This window comes from Homo sapiens, chromosome 10 (assembly GCF_000001405.40).
Source record: "Homo sapiens chromosome 10, GRCh38.p14 Primary Assembly".
NCBI lineage: Eukaryota > Metazoa > Chordata > Mammalia > Primates > Hominidae > Homo > Homo sapiens.
The window spans coordinates 120,638,216-120,656,394 of record NC_000010.11 but is presented as its reverse complement, the minus strand read 5'-3'; the positions used below and the strand labels follow the sequence as shown (position 1 = coordinate 120,656,394).

General features: G+C 43.0%; 1 long non-coding RNA gene across 2 annotated transcripts in view, besides 1 other annotated feature; it reads right to left on the bottom strand.

Annotated features, from left to right (window-relative positions):
• LINC02930 (long intergenic non-protein coding RNA 2930) overlaps positions 1 to 18,179 on the bottom strand; it is a 216,730-nt gene that overhangs the window by 168,917 nt on the left and 29,634 nt on the right. The gene's annotated exons all lie outside the window — the stretch shown is intronic.
• Positions 10,867 to 11,660: an enhancer, noted in NCBI's record as "NANOG hESC enhancer chr10:122404247-122405040 (GRCh37/hg19 assembly coordinates)". NCBI's record gives its function as "activates a minimal SCP1, AML or CMV promoter by ChIP-STARR-seq in naive H9 embryonic stem cells {active_cell/tissue: H9 hESC(naive)}" and the evidence as "EXISTENCE:reporter gene assay evidence [ECO:0000049][PMID:30033119]".

The following is an 18,179-nucleotide window of genomic DNA, read 5'->3' as shown; positions in this document are numbered from 1 at the left end:
ACTAGTCTATAGTGACCAAAAGTGGATCAGTGGTTACCTGAGAATGGGGAAGTGGAGACAAGTGGGTGGAAAAGATTACAAACGGACAAGAGGAAGCCTTTGGAGGTGATGGATATGTTCACTATCTTAATTGTGGTGATGGTGTCACAAGTGTATCTTCCTGTCAAATTTCATCACAATGAGCACCTTAAATATGTGCAACTTATTATATGTCAGTTATGTCTCAATGAGGCTGTTTATTAAAAATTATTTAGCGTCTCTCTCTCTCAGAAACATAAGGTCTTTAGGGATTGGGGTAATCTTGTTCACTGAAAGATGTGCAGCATCTCATCTAGTGTCTGGCACACAGTAGGCATGCAATAATTATTAGCTGAATGAATTAATAGATGAACTAGTCCCTAGTCAGGTAAGGTTTTGATCTTTATTACTTCTTATATGGTCAAATCAAAGTCAATGGCCCTAATAATTTTTAAAGAATCCTGTTGGTTATTCGCAGTTGGGCATTAAAAGATGGGCAACCTTCCAACTCATAACAAATGTCTTATAGGTTTGAAATCAGGGATCCTGATTTGTAAATAATGATTATTTCTGTTTCTAAGTATAACATGTTTATCACAGAAAAATTGGGAATACAGACTAATAAAGGAGCATTTTTTGAACTGATAAGTCCTGGTTTATTTTTGGAAAATATCTTCTCTACAACGAACAGGGGAAATCCTGATATAAACAATTTACTTGTCCATAAATCTGGCTTTATGCTGCTGGTTTCATCATTGTCCCCAGGCATCCAGGGCCCTTGGTTGTCTCACACAGCATAGGACACCTCAGTAGGAGTTGTGCTTATCTGACACCTTCATCATATGGCACTTACCTTTCTTGTTTAGACTAGAGAGAACCAAGGTACTGAAGAACCTGATAAGAGGAGAAGACTCTTCTTTTCTTTTACCTTTTCTAAACTTTTATAGAACAAAAACTATTCTTTCATGTTAGTTTGCACACTTAAGAAGAGCATCTGATGATTGGGTCAATTAGAACTCATGCTGAGAGTCCAAGGAAGTCTGGTCACAGAGCACAGTTCCCTAGTGTCTTACAGGAAATCAGAAGCAGGTAACCCTTTCTAGAGCTTAGAGAGGATGGTAGCCTTTGATAAGTCAATGGGTAACACCACCGTGCATGGAATATTTATACTTTAGGTTTTCCTCTCATCTCAATAAACAGCTATTTATTGAACATCTTCTGTTTACAAGAGCTTTGCTAGATGCTGTAGGGAGGGCAGGGGTGAGCAGAATATTTATCTGTTCTCAAAGAGTTGACCATTGGGTAAGAGACAAAGTCAGTGAAAGGTACCATTTGCAATCGGATAATAGAACAGAGATATCAATGAAGAGAGTCAGAATTACCCAAATCACTTTTAAAAATCCACAGATGCCCAGACTCCGCTCTAGACCTACTGGATCCAACTCTGATAAAAGTCACCAATAGACTTGGTGGGGGGGAAAAATGAGGTAAAAAAAAAAATCTAACACAAATTCAATAAGTATTATCTCTAGATATTTGATCCTATAAAGATTTTAAAATAATTTTAATTGTAGTAAAATAGACATAACATATAATGTACCATTTTAACCATTTCTGAGTATACAGTTCAGTGGTATTAAGTATATTCACATTATTGTGCTATCATCACCACTATCCATGCACATAACTCTTTGCATCTTGCTAAATTGCACCCATTAAACAACTCCCCTTCTCTTCTCCCCCAGCTTCTGGCACCCCCATTCTACTTTATGTCTCTATGAATTTGACTACTCTAAATACTCACGTAAGTTGGATCCCAAAACTTTAAGTGCCACATTTATTGTGACTATACTTTTTAAAGAGTCCTTTAAAAAGCAGGACAATACCCATTTCCCTGGGGGAGACCACGAACATACAGCTACAGGATGAATACAGAAAATGACAATCCTGATTATGATGCCACCGAGTTCTTGGAGCTGAGAAAGAGATTTCTAGAAACCTAGATTTTAAAAGTGCTTTATCTCAGGCCCTTAGATAGAAGCAAAGATGATGAACTCTGGAAAACTCAGACAAGTGGCTCAAGTAATTATGAAAACAACTTTTCTCAAAGAATGAATGTGAGAAGTTTGAATACAAATATCCTTCAAAACAGGAGTTTTAATCTCTACGCTATATTCCCAAAACCTAAATGGAGTGAGAAAATGCATCTTTAATTTTTCTTTTATATTAGATTAAGTCAGAAGGCACGATTTCACTCTTGACTTTGATAATTACAGAAATTGTAGTTTCAATATTCTTTAAAAATACCTAAAATCAGGTTTATAACTTTCATTTGCCCTAGAAAATGAAGGCAAACAAACCACCATGATATTCATGCTGGAAATGAGAAAACCAAGGTCATAGCAAGGAAGTAAAACCAAACAGAATCTCTCCCCATCGAAAAATAACCCCGAAAGCTAGAATGAAAGATGACAAAATTATGACCAAACACACAAAAAATACTTCAGTAATCATAAATTTGAAAAGAAAAAATATAAACGATGGGAAAGCTAGCTTGGGCCCACATGCCTAACACCTCCTCTGCCGCACCCTCCTTTGCAATTGAGATGACCAGCGACAGCAGAACCTGGGGGTTCCAGGTAGGCTCGAGGCATAGGAAATGCAGAAAGTAGGAAGTTCCCAGAGGCCTCCTTGCTGCTGGTGAGTCTGCCTGAACAGCCCTGAGATTGCACAAATTCCAGACAGTGCAAGGCAATCCCCTTCATGAAGAGCAAATTTCTTCTAGCGAGCACCTCATAAATTCTGGAGATAGTAAACAAAGTTGTGTTAAAAAATTAATAATCTTGTAATGCACTATTTGGAAACGTAGGAACAGAGTGTGCAGTCAACTCAGCCAGCAGTGTTTGAATTAGCCTCAGAGACAGAGGCTTGTCTGTAAATATGAAATCAAATGGAGAATTGCAGGTGAGTGTTAGCAAGTGTGTTTTTTCCAGGGGCAGTCTCCACAACTGTGATCAGCTCTGGTGTGGCACAGCCCTGCTATCAACAATATGTACTTTATATTCAGAGTTCCTAGATTACAAGCAGTACAAGTTTCATGGGGTCAAAAGCTCATATAATCTTTGAGATTCCTTCAAGAAAAAAAGAACAAAAAATGTGACTATAAAGCTTATTTAGAATGCAAAAAGGAGCTACAGTAAATTTCAAATTTTATAAATTTGACAAATATTGCAGTCAAGATCTCCATAAAATAATACGATAATTTTATTAATCACTGTCTGGTTTCTATATTTTTTCTATAATTTTTTTGTTTACTTACTCTCTGATTTCCTTTTTAACATTTTTGGATGAAGTAAAATAGGAAGCTAATTGAGCCTTTCCTCTAACATGATTGACCAATATTTGTTTTATATTTGTTGATAACTTAGAAACATTTGTGTTCACAACTTGTCATCGGTAATGCCATACAAGTTTTAGGATTGTTGTTAAATTTGGGAAAAGTCCATCATATTCTTTTTGTATTTGAGATGTAACTTTTGGAAGAATTCTCCACAGATCGACCTCATAGCTTCATACAGGTAAAGCTTCATTTCTTCTCTTCTTTATTCCTGGTGTAAAATACCAGATATAACCTGTCCTGATTTGAGGTGAGTTGGCACAGTTAGTGGTAGGAATGTTCCTGGAAGTCATGCTTACATCTCGAGAACAAACAATAACCTGATACAGAAGTGGTTGCAAACCATGAACAAATCTTCCACTAACTAAACCAAATGCTACCCAATTCATCATCCCCTTAGTTAGACCCCAGACATACCAACAGCCACTGCAAAGTCAAACCAGTAAGAAAGAGTGAAGCAGATGGAGGGGAACCTGGAGTGGAAAGAGACAGTAATCTTAACTGATTGCAGACAAGATACTTTACTTGTGCAAATTTTACAAAAATGTATGACCACATTAACATGGTCCAGAGTTTTGGAAGTAGTATAAGCAAGGGACCCTGAAGCTGAAGCTTCACTAGTTTCATGGTGAATTCACTTTTGCCTACATTCAAACCCTGCTTCTGCCTCTCTGCCTCTCACTAGGGACTCAGGCAAGTTGCTTTCCCACTTCGTCATCTTATCTGTAAAATGGGGAGGAAACACCTTCCTAGAAAAAGGCTTATTGTGAAGACTAAGTGTGATAGCATGCATGAAGTGTTAACATGAGGTGCCGTAACAAACAAACTCCAACATGTTACTGTCCAAAGAGCGAAAGTTTATGGCTCACACATCACCCCGATGTGGGAGTGTGTGGTCAGTAGGCGGCATTGCTCCAGGTGACAATGAAGTTCCCAGTCTCTTTCTGAGCTATGATCCTGCCATTCCTTAGGAGCTAGGGAGTCGGTACTTAAACCTTGTAAGGAGAAAGAAATAGTGGGCCAGGAACACTCACTTAAAACCCTGGTCCTGGAAGTGGCACATAAGACCCAGCTCATTGTATTGACGAGACTGAGCTCATGAGCACACCTGCATGTAAGAAAGGCTGGGAAATGCATTCCAGGTCAGCTGCCTCCCAGGATGGAGAGAGGAGTGTACATTTTTGACGACAGCTAGTTGTCTTTGCCACAGTGCTTAGCCCAAGGCCAGGCATGCAGGAGCAGATCAGGTGGCAATCAAAAAGATCAAGGGGACCCATGGCCCCCAAAAAGCCATCCATCTAAGCTAGGGGTAGCACACTCAAATGCCTTTAAGAACCAATCAGTTTGCATAAATGAATGAGGCAGGCCAAGAGAAAGGAGAACAGCTCTGTAAGTGTGAGGACAGGCAACACGTGACACCAAGGAGACCACAGGGTGGGGCTAGACCACCTGGAGACTGTAGACCTCATCTACAGATGACCAGTGATACTTGGGTCCAGGAAATTGTAGCCCTGTGGAAATAGTGGTTCATTTGGCCAAAGCATCTGAATTTTCAACAGAAGCTGGAAATTTGGATTTTTAGGTAAATTTTTTCAATCAATAAATGGAGTCAGTTATCTATTGCATGGTTAAACAAACACACAAGTAATGCCCCAAACACTCATACCGTTACTCATGATTCTGTGGGTGAGGAACTTGAGCAGGTATGATAGGGATGACCTGTGTCATGTGGTATTGCCTGGAGGATGACCTGGGGTGGCCTCCTGCACGGGGCTGAGGACTAGCTGGGCACCAGAAATCAATCTTGGCACCACTATTTACTATGCATTCTTTTACAATGACTAACTCTATTTTACTTGACTTCTATTTTGTTATACAGCATAGAAAATTAACCTGATGTGAAACTTCGAAGGTTTTGTGTCTCTAAAGAACATGCCACTGATAATCCGACATTCCCTTCCTAGTCTTCTCCCTTCCTAGACTCTCGTCTTCCAGGTCAGGGGTGGCCTATGGGAGCCAAATCCTCTGGCTGCCTCTTTTTGTGAATAATGTTTAAGTGGAACACAGCCACACCCACCTGTTTGCATATTGTCTGTGGCTGCCTTCTCTACAAGGGAGAGTTGAGTGGTCATGACAAAGGTGGTATAATCTGCAAAGTCTAAAACGTTTACTATCCGGCCTTTTTCAGAAAAAGCTTACCAGTCCCTGATCTTTCAATTACAATTGGAATTACCAATCATTGAGCAGGGACTTTGTGCCTGCCTTAATATCCATATATCCATGATCACATTTAATTTTCTTTTTTTTTTTTGAGACGGAGTCTCGCTCTGTCGCCCAGGCCGGACTGCGGACTGCAGTGGCGCAATCTCGGCTCACTGCAAGCTCCGCTTCCCGGGTTCACGCCATTCTCCTGCCTCAGCCTCCCGAGTAGCTGGGACTACAGGCGCCCGCCACCGCGCCCGGCTAATTTTTTGTATTTTTAGTAGAGACGGGGTTTCACCTTGTTAGCCAGGATGGTCTCGATCTCCTGACCTCATGATCCACCCGCCTCGGCCTCCCAAAGTGCTGGGATTACAGGCGTGAGCCACCGCACCCGGCCCACATTTAATTTTCACAACACTGCAAGGCACATATGTTGCTCCTACTTTGTAGAGGAAGAAACTGAGGTTCAAGGAGAGCTGGTGACTTGCCTGAGGTTCCACAGGCAGTGAGTAGAGAATATGGAACTCCAAATCTGATGATCCCTCTAGCAGGCCACACTGCCACCTGGAGTGGACCACATTGCACTGGCTGTGGTTGAGAGGGTGGGAAGAAGAAAAGGTATCCTGATGTCAATTGTGCCCCCTGTGTAGACACCTCTGGGTAGAGGATGTCCATGGCTAGAAAGGAATATTGGAAATAATGGAATATTATTTCCATTAATGGAATATAATAATAATGAAAAACGGCCAATAATGGAAAGGGCCTTGCTGGGTAGGAGTGGCCTCTCCTAAATCTTGCCTGCCTCCCTATCAGCAGGCTGGATCACCCTAAACAAATGGCTTTATTTAAAGGGAGGTTTCAAATGGTGTCCAGGCAGGAATCTAGTATTCAAGTGTAAAGAGTTTCATTTTCAGCGCTTCTTGATGATTTCAGTCTTTAAGCATTTGTGTTGGTTGTAGAAGGTTATACTTTGTGAAAAGTAAAAGTAATTTATTTCTTTTTTAAGCCTGGGTTCCTCTGCATTTCCTAAAAGGAAAAAAAGCCCCACAGAAAGAAGCCACATTGGGGTGACCAGATGTGGTCACACCACAGCTCTTAAAGGAGGACTTCCAGCACCTGCCCCAGAGAGAAAGTCATGCTGCCCCTAAGCCAGCAGAGGGTAATGGGAGCGCCTCAGATTTCCTGCTCCTTTACTGCCTAGGGAATCCCACCTTCCAAGGGGCTGGCTCACCTCCCTTCCTCTTCCTCCCTCCAACCTTCTGTGGCCAGTTTAGAGATCCGAGGGACCACAGTCAACTGAAGGGTGTGCAGCTTCTCACCTCATCACCAGGCATTTCTTCACCATAATCACATCTGTTTTTATGGGCAGTCATTGAGAAGAACAGTAAACCATTAGCTGCAGGCAGGTGGACAGGCCCAAATCCTCTGGCAAAAGCTTGCTCTGGAACCCATCTTAAACCATCTCTCTGCCTTGGGTGGGCTCAGGGAGAGCAGCCCAGAAGCGCTTTTTCTGGGGCATAGGGGAGGTGAAGGAGGTTTCTTTTGTTTTGAGTTTGGGACCAACGTTTGGGGCACTATCTGTGTCACTATCTGTACCACATATGGTCTGGTTGTCAGTGGCATGTTCTTCAGAGACACAAAATCTTTGAAGTTTCACATCAGGTTAATTTTCTATGCTGTATAACAAAATAGAAGTCGAGTAAAATACAGGTAGTCACTGTAAAACAATGCATCATAAATAGTGGTGCCAAGATTGATTTCAGGTGCCCAGGATCACTAAACTCCCCAGGGGCTTTAGCAGATTCAGGAAGGAATGGGAATGAGACCTTGCCTGGGTGGCGAGATTTCTCTCATAGTGAAGGTATCAGAGCCCCATTCAGGACCTTTCCCATGTGCAACACCCTGCTATTCTTGGGCACAAAACGGAGGACTTGTTCTTTTTTTTTTTTTTTTTTTTTTTGAGATGGAGTCTCGCTCTGTCACCCAGGCTGAAGTGCAATGGTGCAATCTTGGCTTACTGCAACCTCCGCCTCCTGGGTTCAAGCCATTCTCCTGCCTCAGCCTCCTGAGTAGTTGGGATTACAGGCGCCTGCCAACACGCCCGGCTAATTTTTGCATTTTTAGTAGAGACGGGGTTTCACCATGTTGGTCAGGCTGGTCTCGAACTGCTGACCTCAAGTCATGCTCCTGCCTCAGCCTCCCAAAGTGCTGGGATTACAGGCGTGAGCTGCCATGCCCGGCTGAGGACTTGTTCTCGTTTTCTTCCTTTGCCTTCCTCCCCAAAGCATGTCCCCACTGAGCTAGAGCACTCAGACAGGCCTGCGTAGAGAAAGACATTCCAGCCCCATCTCTTCTTTGTCTGTCTCTTTTTTTTGAAGGACTAGCACAGAGACTGCTGGAGCTTTCCTGCATGCTGTGTGATAAACCCGCATGCTAGCTCAGGAGAGAAATACATCTCTATGAGGATGTCAGGAAAGCAGCTCACACAAACTCAGCCTAGTGTCTTGCTAGCTAGTTTTAAACGGCATATGTGCCTAAAAATGTCTTGTTGGGATCCAGAAGCAGATAGAAAGGCATTGATGAAATTTAAGAAACCTGAGGCTGAAGTTCTTTTTATCCCGTGCTGCTGTTTAGGGAACTCAGTTTTACAAAGTAAGCCTTCATGTAGAGTACTGTCGACTTCCCTACTATCATTTATAACCTGCATCTAGTTTTGTAATGTTACCCTCCTTCCCACTCCCTCCCACCACTGTTCCACTCTTGCATCTCTGGCTCTTTGTCACTATTTGTTCACAATAATGACACCTGAGGTAATAAAAGAATGTTCCTGCAGTCTTTCTTCTGGGCAGACTGGTGAAGTGTAAAGGGCTCTGGATGAGTGTCAGAAATCTGAATTCAGAGCCCTGCAACCTTCAGTCATTCATTTAACCTCTCTGGGATTCAACTAACTTGTGTCAATAAAACAGTGGATTATCTCTAAAATCACTTGCAGCCCCCAGCCCCCAACAAAACACACCAAATTAAGTAGGAGAATGAGAAATGTCTTCAAACAATAATGATAGGTAAAACCAAAATCAATTAATATGAAGAACTGAATGAAGCACTCAGACACCAGGGATCACAAAGGAGGAAATATTTGTCCACTATGGCATTCTATGAGCTGTGCGAATCCGATATTGATGGTCTCCAAGGGCAAGTTCACACTACCATTCACCACCAGTACAATTAAGCCAATTTAGGAACATACAAAGCTACTAGGTCAGTCTAACTTTGGTGGAGAACAAGAAGTGAGGTGCTACATGCCCTCCACCCCAGAGAATGAACCAGATCCTACTGTGAATGAATCCATTAATATTACTTTTTATGGGGGCAGAGGGAAGAGGCTTGCTCCTAAGATATTACAACTGTGCCTTGTTTCCTGATGAAGGCATGCGTGGAAAGCTAATTAGTTCAGATCCATTCTCTAGGACTTCATGCTTGGCTTCTTTTTGCCTCAGCTACTCTTCTAAGAGATTGAGATGAGGCTGTTGTATCTGCAGATCTATGGAGAAGAACAGCACTAATCCATATGGACTATCAGAACAGCAAGACTGCAGCTGCGCAGCTGTTTCCACTGATCAATGGTGGGTTGCAAAGATGTCTATCACGTTTACACAGCGACTGAACATTACACTTGAAGAATTAAATAAATATCATAATAGATATCAAAGAACTTTGCAATCTCAAAATAGCGTAAAGATGTTGGTCATTATTTGGAGCTATACAGTTAACACCCCTCACTTTACAGACAAAGAAACTGAAACCCAGGGAAGGGAGTGATGTGCCTGAAGTCACCAGCAGGAGAGTGGCAAGAGCCACCCTGAGGGTTAGGGCTCAGGAGAGTGGCCAGAAAAACAGACCAAGCTCTGACTAGGAGAGTACAATTTGCCTTTTTATTACCTTAAACATTTTGACTTAGAAGAATCTTAAAATGCTTTATTTGTGGCCCTGAGTGTGCTTGGAAGCTACAATTAAACTCTAAAAATTAAAACAAGCTAGAAAAGTAAAAATTCCTGATTGGCCAGAAATCATATGGAATGAGGAGTTCGGCCTAATTGAGGCCAAACTCAGTGGATGATTTTTATCTTATGATTAAAAGCTTTCATTTTCGAATGTCTGTTTTATGCCAGGAACTAGAGCAGGCATTTTACATGCATGGTCTTCACGTAATTTTCACACTAACCCTCAGGGTGGCCATGGGCTAGGAACTCCTAGCCCATTTCTTCTTTCATGTTAATTTATTTAAATTGGTTTCTCTTACATATAAGCAAAGATTACAAACTATATATCCTATTGTTACCCTGTGGGATGGCTAGCATTTTCATCTCACAGGAAGACAAAAACCACATACCCATAGCCACCCAGTGCAGATCTAGGTTTTGCACCCAGGGCAATAGGACCATAGCTCCCCCGCCTTGCAACACACACCCTCACACTTCCTCCGGGCTCTCCATTGGGAGGACGGCTTCCTGACATGGGCCCAGGGAACTGTCAACCACAATGGCCTCTTCCATGGGCAAAGAGAGGGACATCCAACCTAAGCCAAGCCACCAGCTCTGTCCTGACTTTGGGGCAAAACCCCACAAGGAGGACAGCAGTTGGGGCTGAGTCATTCTGATGAACAGACCCTCAAAAGACCACCCCTGGATTCCTACTCCCAGACCCTTGAGCTATGCCCTTTGTCCCTCTGAAGGCTGTTTGTTCCACTGTCCTTCAATGCCCTCCTTCCAGTGTATAGAAGTATAGAAGCTCCTAACCCATTCCTTCTTTCATATTATTTAATTTTTTTTTTAACTTAGAAGCAAATAATCCAAACTATGCATCATATCGTTACACAGGAATCCATTGTTTCGTTTTTAACTATCAACCATTAAAAATAATTTCTAAAACCTTTAGCATCCACATATCGGCTTCGTTACATACAATACTCTGAATATGTCAATATATTACTTAATGAGAAAATCTGGGGTGCCTCAAAGTGAATACAGAAGGCACAGTAAATTGGCCTGCATCTTTACTGAGCCCAAGACACAAAGTGGAAGATACTTTGGGAGAAAGAGCATGTGATTCTTTTTCTTTTCTGCTAAATCCCTAACAGGAAACTTTGTGTTTTGCCACATGCTTTAAAATGTACAAATCCTTAATCAGGTATAGTAAGATATGCAGACATGGAAATGACAATTGTGAAAAAAGTTTTTATTCTCACGGATCCCTAGAAACAGGGGCATCCCGTACCATACAGGCCATGTAGGGAGGCACCAGGGTGTGTCTGGAGGCAGAAGGAACAAAATGGTATAAGCATGGCTTTTATTGTGGTTTCCGTGGAAAACCAAGGTGGGGTAAACAACTCAGGTTTGTCCAATTTGAATAATGTTGGCAGGCTCAGGGATATAGGGGTGGTCTCTAGTTATCCAGTACCAGGCTCTAGGGTGATTTAGGGCCATGGGAATATCAGCTTTGTGTGTGAGTTAGATAAAGGAGCTGGTTGGGGGTTTGAGCTCTAGATTGGTTGATTTTCATAACAAAGATGTGCTCACAGGTAAGTCATTTGTTATCTCTAGGAATTAGCTAACCCTGGGAGGGGCAGTCCCTCCTCAGGTCTGCAAGGCCCCAAGATGTTAAAGCAACACAAAATACAGAAAATAAAAAACATGATTCTATACCTCAACCTGTGAAATCTCCTTGGTAACCTAAGCAGTCCTGCTATCACTCCCTAGGCGGGCCTTCCCCCAGTCCCCAGGGCTCTCCCCTACTGTCCTCTTGCTTTTCTCTAGCTGGTGCCAAGAATGAGCTGCTGCCTTCTATCCACAAGGTCTCCATTGTTTTTACTTCTCACCATCCTCATTAATCTCCTGCAACTCAGGAGCCTGTTGAGGGTGGGGGAAGCACACAGTTCATGCAAGGCTATTTTTGTGTTAGGGAAGGGAGTTAGAGTATCAAACAAGAGGGCAGTTAGAGGATCCTGCAGTCTCCTGCACCATCCCTGGTGTCACTGCATTGTATGTGGTGCTTGGTCCTGCTATGCCCAGCAGGCTGAACCTATTCCATGCATGGCTGAACCTATTCACTCACTGGTCTTTCTACTCCTTTCCAGACAGGACTTTGCAGGCTGAGTTATCTCAGGTCTGCAGAGCATTTGAGATTTTCCTAGACATGTGTGCACATTCTCTTTCACCTATTCCTCCAGGTGGGCTGGAATGTAATTCTTGAATTTAAAAAGAAGAACTGGTTCTTTATTCTCCAGGATTCCTTTGGTGGGTTTGACCACTTAACAGTACCTATAGCTGCTCCACACCCCTCCCCTTCATGAGGGACATCCAGATGAGCTCCACATGCCACAGACATTCGGTGAACACCTGTGCTCTGTGCTATGTACTGTACTAAGTACTGAGGACATAGAGTTTGATAAAAACAGTCTCTGTCCTCAAGAACTCCAATACCAGGAGGGAAGCCAGGAAAGTAATCATTGTATTACTGTGGGCCACGTACCATATGAGAGATGTAGGGGGAAGAACTGACACACAGGCTGCAGAGAGGGAAACTCTGGAAGCCCCCAAGAATCCCTTCTCTTCTGCTACACAGTGTGCCCAATGAGCTTGGTAAGGGTTGGCCAACTAAGGGGAGAGTTGCAATCCATCACTGATTCCTCACATTGTTATGAGTTCATGCAAAATTCATACAAGGACCTCAGCTCACTGCCATTATTATTGATCAGCCAATGCATATGTATCAGTCACATCAACATCACTCATTCCCCCTCCAACAGGAACTATGTAATGAGAGGCCTCATTTAGCTAATGGGAACATGAGCTTGGCTCTCATCGTGAAGCATCCACAGGCATTCTAAAGAAATCACTGGACCCCATGGGGAATTAATGTGAGAACACCACTAACTGATTTATTTTTCCAACTGGTTCCCTTAAATGCACGAGGGTAACATCGACTGCTTGCCCTTCAGTGATTTTATTTTCCAGCTCCTTTGAGGAGGCGTGCATGGAGAGCTGTCATGCAGATTCCTTGGTTAATTCACAATCTAAGGTTGGAACTGCCTCAAAATAAGTGGGCTGGCAGCTGCCTCTGAAACTACATGGTCTGTGCCTAAAAGTACATTGGACAACCAGGCAGGGCCCCAGAGAGGTCCCGGGCAGGCAACAGTTTAGATTGCTCTTGATTCCTCTTCTCTGTTTTAAAGTTCAGAATCATTCTGGCTTGCATCATGCTTCTGCTTTCTTTTCCCACACCCTAAAGAAAGAAGCTCCTTTGCTTGCTCACTCACTCTTGCAGTTTTCTTCCTCCAGTCCTCTTAGTCCATTTTCTGCTGCTTAAAAACAGAATGCCTCAAACTGGGCAATTTATAAAGAAAAAGAACTTATTTCATACTGTTATGGAGGCTGAGAAGTCCAAGGTCAAGGGGCTGCACGAGGCGAGAAGCTTCTTGCTAGTGGGGTCTGCCTGTAGAGTCCTGAATTGGTGCAGGGCATCACAGAATGAAGGGGCTGAGCCTGCTAGCTCTGATCTCTCTTCCTTTTCTTATAAAACCAACAGTCCCTTTTCCATAATAACACATTAATCCATTAACCCATTGATCCATGCATGAATCCACAAATGGACTAATCCATTCATGAGGGCAAAATCTTCATGACCCAATCACCTCTTAAAGGCCCCATCTCTCAATACTGTCACATTGAGGATTAAACATCCACATGAGTTTTGGAGGGGACAGATACTTGAATCGTAGCAAAACCTTTGTAAAATTGCCTATGGTCAGCTTCCCACAGCAAAATACAAGCTCCACAAGAGATTCATCTGCTTTGCAGGATCCCCAGCACTTTTGGAAGTGGCTGGCGCACAATAGATATTTGCTAAATAATATGTGAATGAATAAATGAATGAATCTTCTTCACTCTTCAACTTCAGCTTGTCTCCATGGGGATAACTAGTTGCAAATCTTCTCCAAAATAAAATTCCATCTCCAGTTGCCTGTTTTCATTTTCCTCTGCTGCCTGCTTACACCAACATGCTCACAACAGAAGTCTTCTTTCTCTTTAGACCAGCATCCCCACCAGACCTTCCTATTTTTACCAGCAACACCATCACTCCTCCAATGGCTCCCATGCAAAACCTCTTCCTTCTGCCAACCATAGCTTGCTATAGAGCCTGCTTAGTTGTTCATTGCAACGTTTCCGGCTACCTTCCTTTAAAAAAAGAAACAAAAAACCAATGCCAATCCCATGGTCTAATTCAGAATCTCATTCCCTTGGACTTACCTGTTACATCAGCCTCATAACTGGTCTCATTGCTTTTCTAATTCATTGAACACTTCTCCAAATTAGCATTCCCAAAATTCTATGTTCATCTGCCTCTTCTCTAACCAAATCAAAAATCATCAACCACTCCCTACTGCCTACTGGTCTTAATCTTGGCATCCAGGGTCTCCCAAGTTCACCCCCTAATCATTTTATACAGTTTCACCTTGAATAATTCAAAGATAAGGACTTTACCTCTATCTAGCCTTCTTCTTGAATGTGGCTTACATCCTCCCCCATCAGGACTTAGGTTCTCTCCTACCCCCTGCCCCAGGAGTGTCTCTTCTCAACTCTGTCTAGTAAAATCTCACCCAGCCTTCAAGCCCAGCCCAGATCACACCTTCTCCATGAAGCTTTCCCTGACCAGTTGAGCCCATAGCTCTCCCTGCCCCCCATCTGAATTCCTATAGCTTGTGTTGCTTATACCTCTCACTTGATCATAGCCTGAAGTCCTTATTAATTTTTTCATGTGTTTTAGTCTTATCTCCTCAGCCAGCTGGTAAATTTCTTTTGAACAGGGCTCATGGCTCATGTTTTCTTATATTCCCTACAGCAGTTCAGCTTCCTGTTCCCCAACCCAGGCCTTGCAGACAGGAAGAACTCAGTGGATATCGGTTGATTCTGAAGTAAGATAAGACTGAAATAAATGAACATCATGACAGGAATCACACTATGCATATTAGGGAATGGCATTTCCTTGGAGTATTTTTAAAGCATTCTCCCTCATTAAAATTGTATATTTTGAATGGTACCAATGTCACATATTAGGTGTGAAATACATTAGCTCACCTTAGGACTTACTTCACTGTTACTAATAAACAGAAGAAAGAAAATTAGAGAACCTATTAAATTCTAGTAATGAAAGTAGGCCATCTGGAAATCGATCTTAACTTTTCATATTTAATGCACTTCATTTCAGCAATAAGTCCATGGATTTGGCAATAAAAGGCTCACAGAGTAACTCTTTTGCAGTATTTGTTTTCAAATCAACACAAAGGCATTATTTATTCTGTTCTTATTCAAATAGGTTAAAATGCATTCACTTTGGATTTCAGGAACAGTCCAATGTGACTCTGGACTCGAAAGCCCAGATTTGGCCCTTGCGCACTCCCTCCCTCATCACCTTCCCCTCTTTCCAAGCCTGTCCCAAAGGCTGGCTCGTCTGCGCAGGTCTGGGGAGTCTTCTGACAAATACAGTTTCCTGGATCCAGTCACAGACCTACGGCTCATGATCTCTCAGACTGAGGCTCGAGACTATGTTAAAAAGGCTCCCCTGGTGATTCTGATGAGGAATCAGCTTAAGGAATCCCTTTAGGCGTGAAGAGGCCAACTGGCCTCTAAGACCCACGGAGTGGCCAAAGAGTCTCTGTTGACCTCAGCTCACAAGCACAGTCTCATTTCAGACTACTCCACTCTCTAAGCATACGCATGTGCTCACACACACACACATACACACGCTTGCACACAGCGCCTTTTCACACTTACACAGCTACTCTACCTGCCTGGGTGTGCCCCTCCCCACCTTACCAGTTCACCCAGTCCTCCTGCAAAACCACCAGACTGCCCTCAGGTTGATCTGAGCCCTTGCTCCCTGCATCACCGCTGCCTGTGCGGCTCTCTAGTTGGACATCTTCCCTTCTTTCCTTTACTGCATTCAATGAACATCAGTGCAGCACCCCTTGTGTGCCAGGCCCTGGGACTGTGGGCACTCGGCACATGGAGCTGCATTGGCCAAGTCCCTGGGTCCCTGAGTTCAAGGAGCTTAGAATCTAACTGGAGAAACCAACCAGAAAACCCAAGATGAGCTTTACACTTTCAATGTCCCTCACACGGGGCAGGCACAAGAAAATAGCATGTAAGTCAGACTCTGGAAGCAGAGCTTCCTGAAAGCTGGTTCTTCAGCTGAGGTTCTCTTCTGTATTGTATTGTAGGTTTGGGTTGTTTGCATGGAGGCAAACGCACAGTGTAAAGAGCCAAACTGTTCAAGATTTGTTGTAGAAAGCCTTTCATCCCTGTTTTTCTACTATTTCTTGTTCATCTGGGCAAGCCACGTTGACCCCCTTCTGCTCAGTGTTTTCATTTTCATCTTCATGTCTTTATATAGCAGATTTGAATTAACCTCTTTTTTTTCAGTTTAAGGAATTTTTGAGATGGAGTTTTGCTCTTGTTGCCCAGGCTGGAGTGCAATGGTGCGATCTCGGCTCACCGCAACGTCCGCCTCCCGGGTTCAAGCGATTCTCCTGCCTCAGCCTCCCGAGTAGCTGGGATTACAGGCATGAGCCACCACATCCAACTAATTTTGTATTTTTTGTAGAGACGGGGTTTCTCCATGTTGGTCAGGCTGGTCTCAAACTCCCGACCTCAGGTGATCTGCCCTACCTCAGCCTCCCAAAGTGCTGGGATTACAGGCATGAGCCACCGTGCCCAACCAGTTTAAGGCATTTTTAATTGATTTTACACTAGGGAAGATAGGACTTTAGTCCCTGCCCATGTGCGTCCTTCTACTTCCCATTCTCCCAGTAGAGCCATATTGTTATTTTAATTGGATCAATATTCAGCGTTTACAATATTATGACATCGTAACATAACTAAGTTGTTTATTCCCTGGAGTTGCTTTTTAAAAATTTGCATAGTACACTATGTTCTTATTAGTAATCTAAGATCAAACTCATAAACAATTGTCTGAATATCCTCACAAAAAGTTTAGATGCATTTGGTACTCTTTCAAGTTCATCTTCCTGAGGAAGCTCTTTCCCAGAACCTTCAGCTGTGCTCCAGGCTGGACCAGTGGCCCTGTGCACCCAGTACCCAGCTGTCGCCCTGGCGTCTCCTTTTACCATCATTTTCATGAATCCCCTCACCTCTGTCCTGCAGTGGATACTTCTTCCTATAGCCATGATTTATGGCCCCATTTTTGTATAGCACATTCTCTGATATTTTCCCAGAAAGGGTGTCTGGAATGTAAACTTCGAAACTTTGCATGTTTGGATATGTCTTTGTTCTAACCTGACACTTGATAGTTCAGCAGGTGTTTTAATTTGGGTTTCCTCAGGAACAGATCCCAAGACAAGGAAGTTAGGGTAATTATTGTATTTGGGAGGTGATCCTGGGAGCATCAAGAGGAGAATGAGGAATTGAGACAGGGACAGGAAGGAACAGGTTACCATTGTGGGCAACTGGGCCTCAGTCTTGCTGGGGAACTCTGGGAGACTGCATAGAGCACACCTCAGAGATGCCTCACCTGAAGGGCAAGAGAGCCCATCCTCAGTTGAAGACTGTGGCTACTCCTGCTCCTGGGGCATTCACTTTCCTTCAGAGTGTCCCAAGAAAGTCCTCAGCCCAGAGTTATAGATGCTTGTCCTGGAAGCCATCAAGTCATCGTGCACAGATTCAGGGAGTATTGGGAATACAAGTGGACACTGACAGCATCTATTAGGGAGACCATTTCCCTATGGGATTGTTAAAGGTCCTTCCATTACTTTCTAACTTTGAGTGATGCTTTAGAGAGGCTAGAGCCCTTCTGGTTCCTGACCCTTCACATATGAACGGCCTTTACTCTCTGGAAGTTGTAAGATCTTTTTGTTCCTACTTTTCTGAAATGTTTACCATTATGTACAGTAGTGAGTGTCTATTTTCATCCATGGTGCTGAGCACTCAGTGGGCCCCTTCAGGTTCTGCTACATTTTCTTGAATAATTTCATAAAAAGATGGTTGCCTCCTGTTTTCTTCCTTTTCTCTTCCTAGACCTGTTATTGAGATGTTGCACCTCTAGGTTGGTCCTTGGGGTCTTATCCCTTCTTCCTTATTTTTGTTTGTCTTTTTACACTCTACTTTCTGAGGTTTTCATCTTCCACGTGTTATAGTACATTTTATTTTTCTTACGTTTTAAATATCTAATGGTTTTGTTGTTGCACTGTTATTGTTGACAGAATATTCCTTCTAATGACATCTTGTTCTTATTTCACTGTTACAATGTCTTCTTTTGTATCTCTGAGGATACCTAGTACAGATTTTCTGAAATTTCCTTTTCCCTTCGTAGCTTGTTTCTTCAAAGTTTGTTTTGTTTGTAATTCCATCTTCCATGTTAGAGGATTTCCTCAGCTGCCTGGCCATCCCTAGTTGTCTGTTTATATTTAAAAGTGGGGGACTGGAGCCTCTGAGCATGTGTGTGGAGCTGGTTGATTGCAGACTTCAAAGCTGTGAACTGGTGGGATCTT